This window comes from Homo sapiens, chromosome 2 (genome assembly GCF_000001405.40).
Source record: "Homo sapiens chromosome 2, GRCh38.p14 Primary Assembly".
Lineage (NCBI taxonomy): Eukaryota > Metazoa > Chordata > Mammalia > Primates > Hominidae > Homo > Homo sapiens.
Genome location: NC_000002.12, coordinates 121,986,014 through 122,004,509, shown reverse-complemented (window position 1 = coordinate 122,004,509; position 18,496 = coordinate 121,986,014). Strand labels below are relative to the sequence as shown.

The 18,496-nt window shown below is 44.8% G+C and overlaps 1 long non-coding RNA gene across 8 annotated transcripts in view, besides 1 other annotated feature; it reads right to left on the bottom strand.

Annotated features, from left to right (window-relative positions):
* Positions 1-18,496, bottom strand: part of LOC105373592 (uncharacterized) — a 530,486-nt gene that overhangs the window by 428,429 nt on the left and 83,561 nt on the right. The window lies entirely within an intron of this gene.
* Positions 4,923-5,217: a silencer, noted in NCBI's record as "tiled region #14931; HepG2 Repressive non-DNase unmatched - State 22:ReprW, and K562 Repressive DNase unmatched - State 8:EnhW". NCBI's record gives its function as "represses a minimal TATA promoter and a strong SV40 promoter by Sharpr-MPRA in HepG2 and K562 cells {active_cell/tissue: HepG2 | K562}" and the evidence as "EXISTENCE:reporter gene assay evidence [ECO:0000049][PMID:27701403]".

Sequence of the window (18,496 nt, the reverse complement as noted above, 5' to 3'; positions counted from 1 at the left end):
GGGCCAGAAGGGGAGATTTATACTCTTCACCTTATGCCCTTCTGGATAATTTGAATGTAGTCACGAATACATATTACATTTTTAATATTGCAAACTAGTTATTTTCAAAAATTAATTGTTTAATAAGGGATCCATAAGGAGTTCATTAGCACCATAGTACAGAGCCCCATTATTTCCAATTATCTTTCTTTCTTTACTCTCTTAAAGTTCAGCAGTTCTTAACCTTGGGCCCTCATCTTCTCTGCTGTCTTTGCCCATTCTCAGCATCATCGGTGACTTCACAGCACTAAGGGAACTTCATTTAAAATAATGATTCCATAAAGCAAAATTCAAGCAAGGGCTCCAGCTGTCTATGGAATCAACACTCATTTGTTGGGATTTTTGCACACCGATTCTCACCTGAGCCAAGTTAGTCCAGGGAGGTTCTCCCGTGGTTTCGCATCCTTTAAATGGCCCACGTAAGAAGAGTCCATGGAAACAGAACATATCTATTCTAGGTCTGAATGGAGTTGCTTCTTCCCACTACCTCTCTTTAATGCTTCAAATTAATTTTCAGGTGGAGCTGCCAAAAGCTAGTTACTCCAGAAATAAATATATACAGGAAGAGAAACAAATCTACCTGTAATAACCATATGGAGTACACCAACACTGCGTTCAGGAGGAGAAAAGAATTAAGTAACAGCACACTGAGGTGCAGTACAGCTTGTTTCCATGACGCTATAAATAATAAAATCACCCCAGACGCTGCCTGAAGTGAGCTATGAAGGATACTTGATTTCCTCCAGTTCTGTTGGCCGTCTACCATCTGCTGTGCAGCTAACACCACTGAAGGGAGCATTAACACGGCTAAGAGCCTCCTTCATGTTATATCTCTCCCTGTGTGCTCTTCAAATTGTGTACACTGTCGAGGTAGCGGCATGGCTATTCCTGATTAGAATAACTCTGGGAGCATTTCCGTCCATTTCTTCCCCTCTCATCTCTGCCTGGTTGCCTTTGCCTGCCCTCCACACCCTGGCAGCAGATGGTGTCCGTTTATTTCTGAGGGGTGGGCAGGGCCTGACCTGATGGCATGATGACCACACCTTGATGCAAAAGAGGAGGACCCAGAGAGTGCAGGTGGGTGGAGAGGCTCTGGACACAGGTGTTGAGGCCCCAGCAGAGGCAGGAGAGCAAAGGACAGCTCAGCCGGCGACCCCTTTCTCCAGGTTCTCATGGTTGCTTGTTGCCTCTGGCAGGTGGCAGAGGAGGGCCAGGGACTCCATGGGCTGGAGGGAGGAGACCCTTCCCACCCAGTCTCTGCAGAGTATGGCCCTGTTGCCCCCTGAACCACTGTCTTCTGTGCCCCATTCTGTCCCCACAGTCCATCTTCTCCCCCAAAGTCATGGGTGCTCCCGGGACTCCATGGGCTGGAGGGAGGAGACCCTTCCCACCCAGTCTCTGCAGAGTATGGCCCTGCTGCCCCCTGAACCACTGTCTCCTGTGCCCCATTCTGTCCCCATAGTCCGTCTTCTCCCCCAAAGTCATGGGTGCTCCCTTTGGGATGCCCTGTCCCAGAAGCTTATCTTTGCTCTCTTTGGCTCAAAGAAAAGGTGAGCTCTTTGCACCGCATGACAAAAGGATGATAGAAGCCTGATCTACAGTTCGCTATGGGCTTACTTTTACTCGTTCATTCACTGAGCAAGCCAGCTTTCATCCAAATGTATGTGTCCCTCACTCAAATAGCAGCCCATGATGACACTATCCACCCTCCCCATCAAAATTACAATGCCCTCTGGAGAAATTGGGATTATGAAAAGCAAGGGCATTCACCTTAGAAGGACCCTACGAAAATGTAGACAAGAACTGGGGAGCCCAGGAGGAGGTAAGGGGAAGAGGGTGTCTCCTAGCCTTTCTCTGGGGACACAGCATCACTGATTTATCTGTGACTGCAGGTCATTGAGAGCTGAGTCATGCCGGCCCTGTGCAGAGGCCTGGGTTGGTTCTGGAGGCACCCTCTGAAAATCCAGGCAAGAGGAGCATTCATCCATGCCAGGGCGTCAGTTTGGATTCTTTAAGAGCATAAAATAACAGTAGCGGTGCCATCTGCTTGCTCCTTCACCTCAGAAACGTGCAGCCTCCTAGTCAAGAGCATGGCCTAACCAGACAGAACTGGGTTCCAGTCTTATTCCTACTACCTAACAGCTGGGTAGCTGAGGGTCCTCTACAATCTCTGAGATTCCATTTCTTCATCTATAAACTGGATCTAAGGAAACCTCCTTCATTGGACTGTTATGAAGATGAAACAAGATATTGTGCTTAAGGAACATAACACAACACCTGCATTTCCTTCTGAAGAGAAAAGTGAAACCAATTCTTCTTCACATTGGCCACCAGGGAGCTCAGCATCAAATGTCAGGCTCAATTGAAAGCAAGAAGGCAGGACCTGTGATGGGTGCTCTTCTTGCCTTCTCTCCAGGCTCAACATATGTCACTTGTTCTTATTTTCCTTGGACCTAAATCTTTCTTCTTATATTTACATTGTTTTATGTTATGTGTTCCTGTTTTAAATCACCTCCAGGACTTTGTGAAAGGAGTAAGTATATAAGGAGCCCACCTACCTTCTGGGTTGCAGCTTACCAGTGCAGGCTCAGCTGGGACATGACCAGGGTAAACTCAAAAGATGACTAATATTCTTTCAGCTCTGAAAAAATTCTAGGTTTAAACCAACCTTTATTCTCCTAATACACAGAAGACGTCATGTGCAACATTGTTTAAAATTCTTCAAGCGTAATGGAAAAAAGTCTCCAGGGCCTTGTCAGCCCAAGACGGGGGCTGAAAAGTTACCCCAAGTGTCCTTTGCTCCCTGGGGAGCAGGCAGCCACCACACAGCCGGGATGTCATGCCTGGCTTATTCTCTCCCTGTGGCTCTCAGTGGAGCTGAGCTCAACAGAGGTCACCCAAGGTCAATGTGGCACATCAGAAAGACAGGAGCCTGGAGGCATCCCCTGCCAGCACTGCCAACGTGCCCTGAGGGGGCATCCCACCAGGCGGTTGGAAGACAGGGAGCCACGGGTCTGGGGGCTGGGAGGCTGAGAGATTTCTCACTTCACCTGAGGTGCAGGCAGGCCTAATGAGAGAGAACACCAGCCCAGGGCTTCTCCTGTGGTTTCCTGTCAAGGAAACTCAAACCAGGGAAGAACAAATGCCAGCATGGAGCCCTGAGAAGCAGTCATGCAGGGGGAGTGCCTCCGCGATGGTGCGGGGACCCAGGAGACCACGTTCTACTGCTAAAACAGGGACATGAACCACACCTGGAGCAAGCAAGAAGGCTGCAGGGGCCCTCGCAGGCCAGGGTGCAGCACTCCCTGAGGGCATCCCGTTCCTAGAACATCTACAGTGGCAGACGCCTTGAAGGGGGCGTCCACTACCCCACCCATGTCATGCCTTGGGAAACCTGCGGGGTCCGCGTGGCTGCTGCTGCAGTTCACCCTCCCCAAGCCCCACCGTCATGGTAGGCAAACAAGTCAATGTCATCAACAGTCTCTGTGCCCTGCTCTGTTCAAAGCACAGGACCCAAAACTCCACCCATGTTTCACTATTTAGCTCCAAAGACATTAACCACCACAGGTCCTAAAAATGTTGCTCAGCTGTGAGTGTCTTCTATCTCTTGTGCCTTAACTTGCAAAACAGTCCCGTCTTTCTTCACAGTGCTAGAGAGAGGGGTCTGGTGCAGGGCTGATGGGGAGGCGGTGCCATGCAGGGTCCGGCCCAGGCTCTCACCTGAGCAGGCGCAGCCGCGCTTGCCACCTCCTCCAGGGCTTTCCCAGCAACCGCCTCCCCAGCTCAGCTCACATTCTGCTCCCTTCCTTTCACCGTCACCCACCTTCTACAACAGCACGTCTCACTCTCTACTGAGCAAGCCCAGGTTCTTAGCTGCTTTAGAGATTTTCAAGATCCCTTCAGATGCACTTCCTGGGTCTCCATTTCAATCACCACTTGAGCTTCACCAGTTCCAGCAGCAATGTCCCTCCACACTTCCCTAATTACCCTCTTCCAGTCAGTCAACAAACACTGGGTAAGCACCATCTAAGGGCATTGCATTATACTGGATCTTGGAGAAACAGTAGGAAAAAATAAAATCAGTGGCCTGGGGCATCAATGAACTGACAGGGTAACTGCGGAGAAAAAAAAAATCACCCCCAGGAGCGCCATCCCCCTGTTATATGACCCTGGACGAGCCCAGGCTCTCCTCTGCTGACTGGGTATAAGCCTCTTCTTACTGTCCTATAGCCAACAGACATTTTTCGCAGGTCTGCGGACAAACTCCCCTCTTTCGTGAACAGAATCTTTTGTTTTCCTTCCCATTCTTAGCCTTGTGACTTGATAAAGTTAAACCCACCCCCAGCATAGGAGAGGGTCCCTAAGTCAGTCAGAGAGTTCCATGCTTCTGGCCCAAGGATGGACACACAAACTAATCAGAGCCAAGGATATGCAAGGAGACTTTCCGGGGCTTTGTGGGAATAGAGACTGTATCCCTGCTCTGTAAAAACTACTAGAGGAGACCCTCTCTCTTCCACTGGATGACATAATCAGAGGTTGTAAGGATTAGAACTCCAGCAACTATTTTGAAACTGCAAGCTTTCCTGGGCTGCTAGCAGCCTTTGGTATAAACCTCAGGAAAGAAGCCTAGTCCAGGAAGGCAGAGCAGGAACAAGGAAAATATTTGTCCCTTAGGGACAGGACCTTAGGGATAGTTGTTGAGCCCTAGATCAAGCTTCACCTGAATCAGGACTACCGCTGAGTATATCAGTGACATGAACCAGCCAGTAACTCCCCTTCGTAGATCAAGTCAGCTGGAGTCTTTCATGTCACTTGCAAACAAACCTGCTCTAGCTGATGTACTCCCTCACAGAGGCATGGTGGAAATTAAGTCAGGAAAAGCTCTCTGAAGTTTACATAAAGCTCTCCACACCCCAGGCGGTGTTATGCAGCAGGAAGCACTTGGCAGCTGCCCAATAAACACATTTCATATCTTAAGGCCTGATCAGTCCTGCAGAGAAATTATCTCTGAGTCTGAGTTGTCTCTTTGAAACAGAACTTCCCTAACAGCCTTGATCCATCCGGAACAGCTGCTGTCAAAAGCTACCAGGACCACAGTAATCACGAAAAGCATAGCCAACAAGGAGTTTCTGTAGCAGCGTCTGATGAAGCTACCATAGGCCACGCTCATCACAAAAGTCACAGCCACGGGCATCCCTCAGTTCATGCTGCTGCCAAGGTTCCCAAGGCCCAGCCTGAAAAAAGCTGCTTATCTGCAATGCCAGAAACTGAGCTGCAATCTCAAAACATTATTTCTGGAAACTGAAAAGAATCCCAGGTAAATGATCAGAGCAAAGGAGAAACTGTTGGTGGAGGTTGTCAATTAGGGAGAAACCAAGGCATGTTAGCCTTCGGGGGACAGATTTGATGCACATGCTCAAGAGCCAAAGATCCTTCAAGTCTCTTCACTTCACAAGAGATTGCCAAGAGGCCTGAGATCAGTCTGTGGCTGAGAAGATGAGCCCAGCCACATCATTTCATGCGCCCGGATGCATCTGAACAAATGTCATCAACAAGTTGATGATGATGCTAAGAAAACGGCTGTTCCATGCCAGCCTACACCTCCCTGGCATGTCTGGTACCTGCTTTCCTCCTTTTTGTGGAGAGTCAGACACAGGATGCCAGTGGGGGATGGGCTCTGACCTCCAACTTATGTGTTCTAGGCCTCTCAAGTACTGGGGAAACTCTGGAACTCCTTCAGGCCGTGCAGGGCAAGAGGAGACAATCAGGGGCATCTATGGAGGCCAGGAAAAGTCTCAGGTGCAGCCCAGCCATGTGCTTCCTCAGGGCCCTCTTTTTTTTTTTTTTTTTTTTTTTTGAGACGGAGTTTCGCTCTTGTTGCCCAGGCTGGAATGCAATGGTGCAATCTCAGCTCACTGCAACCTCCGCCTCCCAGGTTCAAGTGATTCTCCTGCGTCAGCCTCCCGAGTAGCTGGGATTACAGGCATGCGTCACCATGCCTGGCTAATTTTGTATTTTTAGTAGAGATGGGATTTCTCCATGTTGGTGAGGCTGGTCTCAAACTCCTGACCTCAGGTGATCCGCCCACCTTGGCCTCCCAAAGTTCTAGGATTACAGGTGTGAACCACCAAGCCCAGCCAGGGCCATGTTACGAGTGTGTCAGAGGTCCAGGCTGGCCTGCACAGGAAGGTGGTCTCCAAGTCCTCTTTCAGTCTGAGCTACACAGGACCACCACACTCAGTGTGAGTGCCCACTCCCATTCCCATGGACCTTAGCTCCTTAGAGAGCTCCCGAACCTTCCCCCACAACACACAGACACAGCAGCCACGCCCTACACACAGCCCACAGCACAAACCCACCCGCATTTCATCATAGCTCTATCCAGGACAGTGTGATATGCTGCCCTTTGTAAAAACCTGTACACCTACTAATAGAAAACTCTGAGCTTCTGCTAAGTAATCATATTTTATCCTCTAATGACATGGTGAGTTCTGTGGATAGTGTTTCTTTGCTTTGGCTGCTAAGAGGTTAAGAGCCAAATCTGTAACAATCTCTCATATCTGCCTAAGACCCTCGGACCAGCATTTGTGTACCTACCAGCCTTTCCTGCCCTGGAGATCTTATGTGTACACCTTCATTTTGCTGTGACCTCAATTTCTTCTTGTTTTTTTTAATCAAGTTGAGTATACACACATGTTGACATATATATATATATATATGAGAGAGAGAGAGGCAAACTCACAATCTTCTTAGAAGGAGGCTGGAGAGTATGCAGAGAAAGAGAGAATGGATCAAAATGAAAAAAAAACTTTTCAGCCATGTGTTCTTATGTTGCAATCTTAGGACAAAATGGGAACCATGAAGACACACCTCTAACTTTGGAATAATTTCATCAGGCTCCCTGTTCAGAAGTCCCAAGTAATAACCATGACCTGTCACATCTCAAAAATAACTATATAAGCTGAACAGCCAAAAAGTCACTTTTGGAGATTATTTATAAACATGGGTGATTCCTGATGGAAATTAATCCTTCATTTTATAGAAGTCAGAAAAAAATTGAGAGACTAATTCAGAGAGTACTTGGAAGCGAGCAAACAACCAAGAAGTGAAAACCCATGAATATGGAAAGGACATGCCTATTGAATGTGTGATAATTATCCCGCCTGCAGACCAGGGACTGCAGCATGAGCAAAATGCTGTGCAGCATAACTTACTGACACCTGAACCAAGGTCATCCTTGGGTGCACCATTCTTGGGATTTAGACCAGTTCATAAATGGTAGTTAATGGCCCATTCCAAGGAGAATCTCTGCATACTTAATGGCTGTGGGTGACACTTTAGAATATGTATCTATTCAAAGTGACACATACATAGGGAATCTGTGATCAAGCACCTGCCATACAGCCAAAAATATAGGGAACATTTCAGTCGGTGGCTGTGCCAAGCATTGGTAAGCGCCTAGTGCATACACAGCTCTGTGTCCCTATTTCCTGCTTCATCCGATGACTCGAGTAGCATCTACTGAATCTGCTTCCAGAGCTGTGTTGAGAACATCAAGAGATGTCTTAGTGTAGAAGTAGCCACATGGATGGTGACATTGTCATGTCTTTTGCAAAGACACGCATTCTGCATGTCCCAAGTCTCCTAAAGGTCTTGATTAAAGTTATTTCCAGAAGAGGCAGCAAGATGAAGTGTGCAAATGATCTAGCCCCATACCCTGGAAAAGAGTGTCCAAAGCAGAGTGCCTGGCCTTAAGGAGTTTGTATTCTACTTGGAAAGAGGATATTATAAATCTCCCATTTTGCTTTTGAGGAAACTGAGGCACAGGGTCACATGACATCCAAAGTCAAATAGCTTGTTAGTGACTGATACAGTTTGGATATTTGTCCCCTGCAAATCTCATGCTGAAATTTGATCCCCAGTGTTGAAGGTGCAGCCTAGTGGGAGGTGTTTGGGTCATGGGGTTGGATCCCTCATGAATGGCTTAGTGCCGTCCTCACAGTAATAAGTGAGTTCTTGAGCTATGAATTCCTGCAATTATTCCTGAGAGCTGATTATTTAAAAGAGCCAGGCACCTCCCACCAACTCTTGCCTCCTCTGTCTTGCCATGTGATCTACATATGCTGGCGCCCCTTTCTTTTCTGCCATGATTGGAAGCTTCCTGAGGCCTCTCCAGAAGTGGATGCTGGTGCCATGCTTCTTGTACAGCCTGCAGAACCATGAGCCAAATAAATCTCTTTTCTTTATAAATTACTCAGTCTCAGGTATTCCTTTACAGCAATGCAAACAGAATCAGTACTAGCACCCAGGACCTGTGATTATTTGGGATGTGGCAGATGCTGCCAATGCTCTACTTGCTTTGTTTAAACCCCACCACTTCAAGTGCTCCAAAAAGCTACCAAACTGCCAGCATCTGCATCTCTGTACCTGGAGGTTTTGCTGGAACCACAGAATGCTGTTCTGCTTCCCTGCATGGCAAATCAGAAGTGCCAAGGAATTAACATCCCCCACAAGCAACCCCCAACCAATGACTGACAGGAAATGGTGCACAAATACCCAGCTCCTCCACCCATTGGGAAGGATCATTCTGCAGTTTCTCTTTTGCATCATTTTCCTGCAAGTCTTCCCTGCCCTCCTGAATGAACTACTTGTACCTGAATCCTTATTTCTAAGAACATCGAACACACAGGCAACCAAAGCAAAAAGAGACCAATGGGGCTGTCAAACTTTAAAACTTTTGCACAACAAAGGCAATGATCAACAGAGTGAAAAGGCAACTTATGGAATGGGAGAACATATTGCAAACCCCGTATCTGATAAGGGGCTAATAATATCCAAAATATATGGAAAGAACTCTTACAACTCAATAGCAAACAAACAAACAAACAAAAAAGCCAGATTAAGATATGGGTAAAGGACTTGAACAGACATTACCAAAAAGACATACAAATGGCCACCAAGCAAAAAGATGCTCACCATCACTAATCATCAGGGAAATGAAAATCAAAACCATAAAATCTCACACTTATCAGGATAGCCACTATCAAAAAAATAAAATAAAAATAACAAGAGTTGGTGAGGATCGTGGAGAAACTGGAACTCTTGTGATATACAATGGAATGAATATTATTCACCCTTAAAGTAATAAGGAAATCTACTAGGTGCAGAGGTTCACATTTGTAGTCCCAGTTACTTGGGAGGCTGAGGTGAGAGGATCACTTAAGCTCAGGAGTTTGAGGACAGCCTGAGTAACACAGCAAGACCTCATCTTAAAAAAAGAAGGAAATTCTGTCATATGCTACAACTTAGATGAACCTGGAAGACATTATGCTAAGTGAAATAAACCATTCACAAAAGGACAGATACTACATGATTTCACTTATATGAGGTATCTAAAGTAGTCAAACTCTTGGAAACAGAAAGTAGAATAGTGGTTGACAGGGGCTAGGAGGAATGGGGAAAGGAGTTTTTCAATGGGTGTAGAATTTCAGTTTCGCAAGACAAAAAAGCTCTAGAGATCTGTCACACAACAATGTGCATATAGGTAACATTACTATACTGTACACTTAAAGATGGTTAAGATGGTAAATGCTGTTTTTTATTACAACAAATAATAATGAACTGAAAAGTATGTAGGTAAGAAACAACTAGAAAGTATCACTAGCAGGCAGGCAATATGATAAAGGGGAAGAAACGTGGTCTTTGCAGTCAGTAGAGCCAGATCTCAGTCCTGACCCTCCAGTGACTAGCTGCTGAGTTGGAAATTCCCATTGCTGTGTCCCACAGCACTTGGTACACTGAATGCTTTCCTGTGGGCAACTTGCTCATACAGAATATGTTGGGGAAAAAAGCACTCTGCACCTCAAGGAGGTAAATTGAATTCAGTTTTAGGTGTCTTTCTACAGTGATGGAATTACAGGAGAAAACAGCTTTACTCCTGAGACAATCACATATCTCTGCTTGGTTTCCTGTACAGGAGCCCAACCCAGTGACATCCTGGGTGGGCTTTTCCCAGCCACCTCCCTCTGAAGAGTGATTCACAGGACACCTGCTCGCCAAGCTCTGAGCTGCTGGCAAATCCCCTTTTCTTCACTGCCCCACAGGTGCACTCTCAGCAGCCATCTGTATGGTCAGTGAAGGGACCTTCACAAATGACAAGAGCTGAGGATTGGACTCAAAGAGGGGGAGCCCTGGGACCCTAAGATGGAAGGACAGTGGGAGGGGCAGTGAAAGGTGGGCAGTGGGATTCCAGAAGCCAGGTAAGGAGGAACACCCAGGCGAGAGGAGGTGGATGAACCTACCTAGCCGTACAGACATGCTGAGGAGTCCACAGTGGTCTTAGGAGTGGGCTGCTGGTAGTAGGTGTATATAATTCCCTTCCTCTCTAGGCTCTGCCTCCGAGCTCCTTGGGTGAGAAGCTGTCTTCTTCATCACTAAACTTGTCACCCTCTGTAGCAAGCACACAGCAGGTTCTTGGTCAGTGTATGCTGAACTCATTCCTTTAGACTTAGGCTCTAAGGCTCAAAGACATATTGGCACAAAGACGGCTCACTGCGTCTCCATGTGGCTGGAGTGGGACTCAGCCCCTGCCCGCTGCAACATAAATCCTTGTGTTAATGCATAGCCTTGTACAGGGCTTGGCATGTGAAGGTGGAAACATATTAATACAAGGTCTGCACTAATTGGCTCTAACAATCCCAGCCTTGGGCTCCCCGTAACTGCTACCACTCCACTGACCTAATAATTACAATTTATGTGGCAGCAAAAGTGCACAGAATCTGAAGGATTTGTTTTGCTGACTTTAAAGAAAATATTCACAGGTCATAACAATATGAAAATGTTATTTCCCCTGGTGAGCCACATCACAGAAAGCTGGAGACAAAAATCCTATTCAAAGACATGGTCCCACCAATGCTTTATGCTTTCTCAGTCATGGGCTGTGGGGAAGCAGGGGACAGACGGGCAGGACATCCATGATGGCTTCCCTGTTGGGTCTGCCTTCTGTAGCCAGGGCTATATGCAGGGGATTTCCAACGGTAGCGGGGAGATAAAAATTGTTATTTAAAACCCAAATTGACTGTGGCTGCTTTTGCAAGCAGCATGATTCTTTTATATTACAGGCTAGAAGGGCAGAAATCTTCCTGCTTCCATTTTAACTGAGCACCAAGACAACAGATACCCAATACCATAGAATCTGTAGACACATCCCCAAAGGCGGAATTTATCAAGGTCGGATGCAGAACCTTGTCCACTGCTTAAGAACTCTCTCACCCTCTCCATGAATACAAAAAGTAATTATATCTTTGGAGCACTCTGATCCAGATATGACCACAGATTATATACCACAGACTGTGCTGTGAATCCCACCCCCTGCTACAGGCTCTGTGGCCCCTACAGCTGGAGGATGGGAGGGCTGGGTCCCGACTCCCACCTGAAAAACCAAGAGGTCAAAGGTGAGCAAGAAGAGTTCTGAGCAAGAAGGGTGCTGAGCAGGGGATGTGTTTCCCAAGGATCCAGTGTGTGCCCCATGGGAGAGAAAGCCAGCTGTGGGATATCTTAGGGTCAACAGGGCCACCTAGGGGGCCAGAGAGATCTTGATCTCAGCCACAAGAAGTCAGGATAAGACTGCATTCCTCGGGCTGCCAGAGGTGTCTCTAGCTGCTACCCAGAACAGAGGAGCACAGGGCTGCTCAAAGGGATGCAGTCAAGGAACCCACCTGGGAAGCTCTGAAGAGCTTTCCAAATCCCAGCACGAGGGATGCAGTCAGCTCTCCATACCTGCCAGGCCCAGGGAACAGGAAGCCAGCTCCCTGCAAAGCCAGCAGGAGTGAGATGGACCCTCCCTCCTCCAGCACCTCCAGCATCATCCTGCCAAGGTGGAGAAACTAAGAGAAAGCCACTCATGTCCTTAAAGCTGGGCCAAGCTGGGAGAGAGGCAAATATTTGTCACCAAATTGAGGTAAGATCTGGGACTCGACATTCAAATTGCTGAACTGGGATTTAAAGTCCCTACAATGGTCTATTACCCAAGAACAGAAAGAGAGGCTGTGGGTCTGACAGTTTCACCCAGGGGCACGGCAAAGTCACCAGCACTGAGTAACCTTGAAAGGGGAATAGGGGACAAACTAAAGCTGCATTTGATCCCAGCCCACCAGTCATGCATTCCATACCCTGGTTATAATATCAGTACAGATGAAACCTCTGTTCTCCTTGCATAGACTGAGAGCAGAGAGACGTATTCCAGAATCCGTTCTCCCCTCTGCCATGGAGGCAGAACTGTAGCTGGGCACAAGCTTGCAGGCCAGGCCACTCCTCAGGCTCTGCATAGCTGGTGGAGCCAGGTAACTAGGTTCTTGTCCATGGGATATGAGTAGTGGCCACACATGCAACTTCCTGGGCTGGTCCTGTGGACACCAGTGTGGACTCTTCCACACATCCTTTCATTCTCACTGGCAGTTCTCCAGTCAGGGGTGGGGGAGCAGCAGATGGAGGGAACTTGCTTCTCTGAATGATCTCATGGAGCGGAGCTGGACTTCCCATCTATCCTCAGACCCATTACAGGAGGGGAAAATATGGTCTGTGTTTTGAGGCATTGCCTGGTCAGTTACTTTTACTTCATCTTTACCTTATCAAATACATGGGAAAGCTGCAAAACCTGGAGGAAGCATCTGTTGCACAGTGCATCCCTGGACCATTGGATTTGCAAAGGAAAGTCCAGAGTTGAGTTCCTGGCTAGGGACCACTGAATTGCTCTACATAATACAATAGGAGTTTTTTCTGGCATCATTAGAGATGGAAAATGGTGGTAGGCAAGTGGAAAACAAACACAGCAGGCACCTGGATTTTGAGTAGTTGAGAAGGCTGGGGAGGTTTTTTCTGAAGAGAAAGAATGCTAATATTCAGTATTAAATTAGCCACTATATGAAGTTTGCTGTAACTTCTCTCACTATTACCTCGGAGTTTTTAATAAAAGCCCATCTCACTGAGCTGCTTCATGTGCGTTGATTGTTTTGTTTTGTTTATGCTACATTAGGATAATAATTTCAAATTACTAATTATGGATTTTTCAAATGTATAAGAGAGAAAATAGCACAGTGAAGCCCCATGTACCCATCACCCAGCCTCAGCACTTAGCAACCCATGGTCAATCTTGCTTCATCGCTGCACCCGCCCATTTTTTTCCTCACTAGACAATTCTGAAGCAAATCCTTCTTGATGGGAGTACTCAGCACCACTTATAAAGTAGTCTTGCCAGAAAAAATCCACCAACCATTGAAAGGGTTGATTGGATTCTGGTTTGATTTCTTTTGGCAAGACTACTTCATAAGTGGTGTTGGAAACTTCCACAGGGAGACATATAACATCCAACCTTCTCATTTCATGACATTTCAGTAATCTTGGAGAGTTTTCTTTCCTAGAAGGGAATAAATTAGGCAGGTCTGTTTCTCACATTTGGGTCAATCCCAGGGCAGAATAATGAGGCAGTTTCAAAAAGCACAGCATAAAGTGATAATTTGGCAAAGACAGAACCTAGCCAGAAGTAACTAGAAATGAGTATAAACAGGAATTTACAAAAACCTTGGTGAAGGCATTTGACTTCCCACATGACATAAGACGGAAGATGAAGCCCATCTTATCTGGATAATACACGGGAAGATACCCACCTCCAACATCTGGTTCATGTAGTACAATTGTGGCAGAGGTGCTATTTTCTCCTCCAGGTTTTGTCCATCCATCCTCCTTACCAGGGCCTTTACCCTCTAGGTGTGTCCCTCTGGTGTCTTGAATTCAAGTTCCCACCACCTCAAACTCTTTGTCTAGCATCTCCTCCAGAAAGTGTCTAGTACACTCATTCTCAGTGAAACATACAGGTTAATCCTAACATTTCACATCTTGCTTAATTAGTTGGCTTCCCCTGACAACTCTACTAAATAATCAAAATAGCAATAACCCTTCCAGGAAACAAGATGTTCAAAGCAGCCTGACAAAGTGGTAAAGGTCAGAGGCATTCCTTCCAGATTCTAGTCCAGTACTGCCAATAATTAACTGTGTATCCTGGAAAAGCACTTCCCTTGTTTGGGCCTCAGTTTCTCTAGTATCTAAAGGGATTGGAGTCATGCTGTCAAAAGTCCTTTTCACTTGGAACATTTTGTCATGTAGGTGAAAAGACTTTGAAAGGTAAAAAGCATCATGTTAAGTAAATATGCTTAACTACACAACACTCATTTGAGGCATTATTTTTCTTTAAAGCGTATTATTGGAAAACTTAGAATTCTTCAGGTAACTAAAACATTAAGGATTTGAATCCACACGCTGTAGACCACCAGAAAGAAGTTTTCGCAAAGCCCATGGTCTATTAACATGCAAAAGTCTCCTGAGATACAGACTTGTTCAATGAGAACATTATAGAATAGCACAACTATGACTTGTCTTGATTACATAATTATTTGCTTCCTATCACTTGGAAAAATTCCTATCACCTGGTAAAATTTTGGTTCTTTGACTTGTGTCTTATCATCAGGGATCCAAGCAAAAAAATGATAGTATATTTTCAGAAACTGATTGATAGCAAATGACCATGCCTTACCCCCTATTCCCAGGGCTGGCCCAGAAATAGGCCACACCATAAATCATTTAATGGGTATTTATTGTGTTCCACCCAGGTTCTCAGCCCTGGATCCCCTGGAGATCAAGAAGAAATGTATCTGATATCAAAGAGTTTACAACTCAGTTGGGGGTAGAAGATAAATGAATACACAAGACATAGCAGCCAACAAAACAATAAGTATTAGACTGAAATCGTAAATTGCATGACACTGCCCTTGAAACATCCAGTCTTCAGAGAAGGAAAGGATCAGAGAGGGCCTGGGAGCCAAGGCAGGCTCCATGGAGAAGTAAATAAAAGCCAGGACCCTCTTTTATCTTTTCTCAAATAGGAAACACCAATTTTACTGTCATCATATATGATCAGGTGGAAAGGACCAATCCCAAGAAAGTGAAAGTTTCCTCAAAACCCTGCACCCAAGAGAAAACACTGTTAGTAGGTCAGGATTGGTACACACCTCCTTGGAAGACTCTGTTGGCCGCCTACCAACCTATTCACCCCTCTCTTCTAACTTTTTAAACTAACTTATTATTGGAGTAAAAAATACAAAACATAAGATCTACCCTCTTAACAAATTTTTAAGTGTTCATTACAGCATTGCTAACTATAAACACAACATTATAAAGGAGATCTCTGGAACTTATTCCTCTTGCACGACGAAATCTTTATATCCATTGAACAGCAACTCCCCTTTTCCCAGTTCCCCCAACCCCTGGCAACCACCATTCTACATTCTGCTGCGATGACTTTGACTACTCTAGATAATTCATATTAGTGGAACCATGCAGTATTTGTCCTTCTATGACTGGCTTCTTTCACTTAGCACAGTGTTGTCAAGGTCCATTCATGCAGCATATAACAAGATTTCTTTCTTTTTTGTGGCTGGATAATATTCCATTGTACACCACATTTTCTTTATCCATTTGCCCATCAATGGACATTTCAATTGTTTCTGTAACTTGGCTACTGTAAGCAAGGTTGCAACAAACATGGGAGTGCAGATACCTCTTCAAGATTCTGATTTCAATTGTTTTGGATAAATACTGAGAAATAGAATTGGTAGATCCTGTGGTAATTCTATTTTTAATTTTTGAGGAGCTTCCATACTGTTTTCCATAGTGACTGTACCATTTTACATCAATACAGGACACATGGGATCCAAATTCTTCACATCCTCACCAACACTTGTTATATTTTGTGATTTTTTTGGTAATAGCCATCCTAATGGGTCTGAGGTGGTATCTCATTGTGGCTTTTACTTGCATTTCCCTGATGATTAGTGATGTTGAGCATTTTTTCATATGCTGGTTGGTCATTTGTATGACTTCTTTGGTTAAACATCTATTTGGGCCTTCTGCCCATTATTTATTTATTTATTTATTTTTTTGCTTGGTTTGTTGGAGTTTCTTGTATATTTGGGATATTAATACCTTATCAGATATATAATTTGCAAATGTTTTCTCCCATTCCATAGGCAGACTTTTCACTCTGATTGTTCTCTTTGCTGTACAAAAGCTTTTTAGTTCGATCTAGTCTCACTTGTCTATTTTTGCTTTTGTTGATTTTGGTGTCATATCTAAGAAATTATTGCCAAGACCAATGTCAAGATTTTTCCCTATGTTTCCTTCTAGGAGTTTTACAGTTTCAGCTCTTACATCTTAAGTCTTTAATCTATATTGAGTTGACTTTTGTGTATGGTGTAAGATAAAGGTGCAATTTCATTCTCTGGCATGTGGATACCCAGTTTTCCCAACACCATTTGTTGAAGAGACTACCCTTTCCCCCATTGTGTCCTCTTGGCACCCTTGTCAAAGATCAAGTGACTGTATAGGAATAGGTTTATTTCTGGGTTCTCTATTCTGTTCTATAGGTTTACACGTCTGGCTTTATGCCAGTATCATATTGTTTTGATTACAGTAACTTTATAGTATGTTTTGAAATCAGGAGGTATGAGCCCTCTAGCTTTGTTCTTTTTTCTCAAAATTGTTTTGGCTATTCAATGTCCTTTGTTGTTTCATATAAATTTGGGGATTTTTTCTATTTTTGTAAAAAATGCCATTGGGATTTTGATAGGGGTTGCAGTGAATCTCTAGATTGTTTTGGGTTGTGTGGACATTTTAATATCCTTAAGTCTTCTAATTTATGAACACAAGCTATATTTCCATTTACTTATGTCTTTCTTAATTTCCTTCTCTTCTTTCTTGTGAGGATGAATATGATTTTGTTTGAGCATCAGGAGTCCAAAGGATTTCAGAGTTCCCTTTCCAGCCTCAGGGTATAAATGCGAGCTAGTATTATTCACCCTGGTAGTTCCATAATTAGTTCTAGAGACTGGTAAGGCTCAGGCATCAGATTCAACCCTGGTTAATTAACATAACGGAAGTCTGCTAGGGGCTTTAAGAAGAAGTTTTCCTTCTTAATAAAAGAGAAACACAAGAAGAGATGGTTCTTCCTGACTTTGGACATTGCCATGTAATGAAAGGAAGCCTGAAGGAGTTGCAGCCAACTTACACCCTTTAAAGAAAGTCCAAAGAATGTCTCAGTGGGAAACTAAGAGCCCTGACATTCTTAAGCTGGAAAACTAGCCAACCCTCGAACCAACCGTGCTCTGACTTCCTGCCATGCAACATAATAAACCTCTCTTAATGTTCAAGGCACTTTTGATTAGGTATTTTGTGACTTGCAGCAGCAAACGTAAACCAAATATCCAAGTTTTCTATATATGAATATATACAATTATACATAAACAAGAATATACCATACAAGGTGCCTTGCGACCTACCTCGTTTCATTTATCAACATGTCATGAGGGTCTCTCCATATCATAAACAAAGCTTTCTTCATCATATACATGCATACATTTAATTCATATGTATCTGAAATGGTGCAATAAGTGTGCTAAGAACCAAGGGCTCCCATTCCAGTTCAGAGTAAGGTACAGTGAACACACTATGTCAAGTCTCTTCCATTGAATGAAATTTATAAAACTTGGAAAGAATGCCTGGAGCAGTTATTTGAGAACTATAAAAAGTAAATCACAGCAGGTAAATTAAGAATACCAGAATTCAAAGTATTATACTGTCAGATTGATGGTAAGTTTCCTATTTTACCTCCAGTTTCCCCTGGCCTGTACCCAAGGAAGCCCAAAATCCAGAAGGGGGTGTCAGGACACGGACAGAAACAGCACAGGCAAAGCCCTCTAGTTCTGGTTTGACACACTGGAAAAAGGTCCCCTAATTCTCAGAGAGAGTGGGGGAAATCCCACACTTTTCTTTTCCTTTTTTTTTTCTTTTTTCATTCTCCATTCTCTTACGTCCTAGCCTCAGGGGAATCTCATGGCAGCAGAGGCTGTGAAAGATGTGGCACGAGGATTCCACAACCACCTAAACTCTCAAAGAGGGGAAAGTCTCTCTGCTCAGAGGAGCATGGACAAATCCCCCTTGTTTTTTTTTTTTTTTAATCTCAGTGTTTTTCCACTGCTTGTCCCCAGGAGCAGGGGCAACCATAGCAGAGCAGAGTAACTAAAGCTACAGCTTTCTGGCCAGAGGATGAAAAAGGAGAAGCCCCAGGAACCAGAATGCACCAGAAAGATCACAGAGAAGAAATGCTCTAGATGGCCCACACTCGAGCGGCACATGCGTGGATCTGATCTTCAACAGCAAACCAAAGACTTGAGAACTACACTAAGAGGCCGCCACCTGCATACCCAACTGGCCATTGAGGAGCACATGTGTGCAACAGATATGAATAGCATTATAAATGCTTTTAAAATGAACCCAAAATTGAAACCACATTCCTCAGAGGACTGGTCAGCACTCGCAGCCTAAACCCAACCAGGTTGTTGGCCTATTA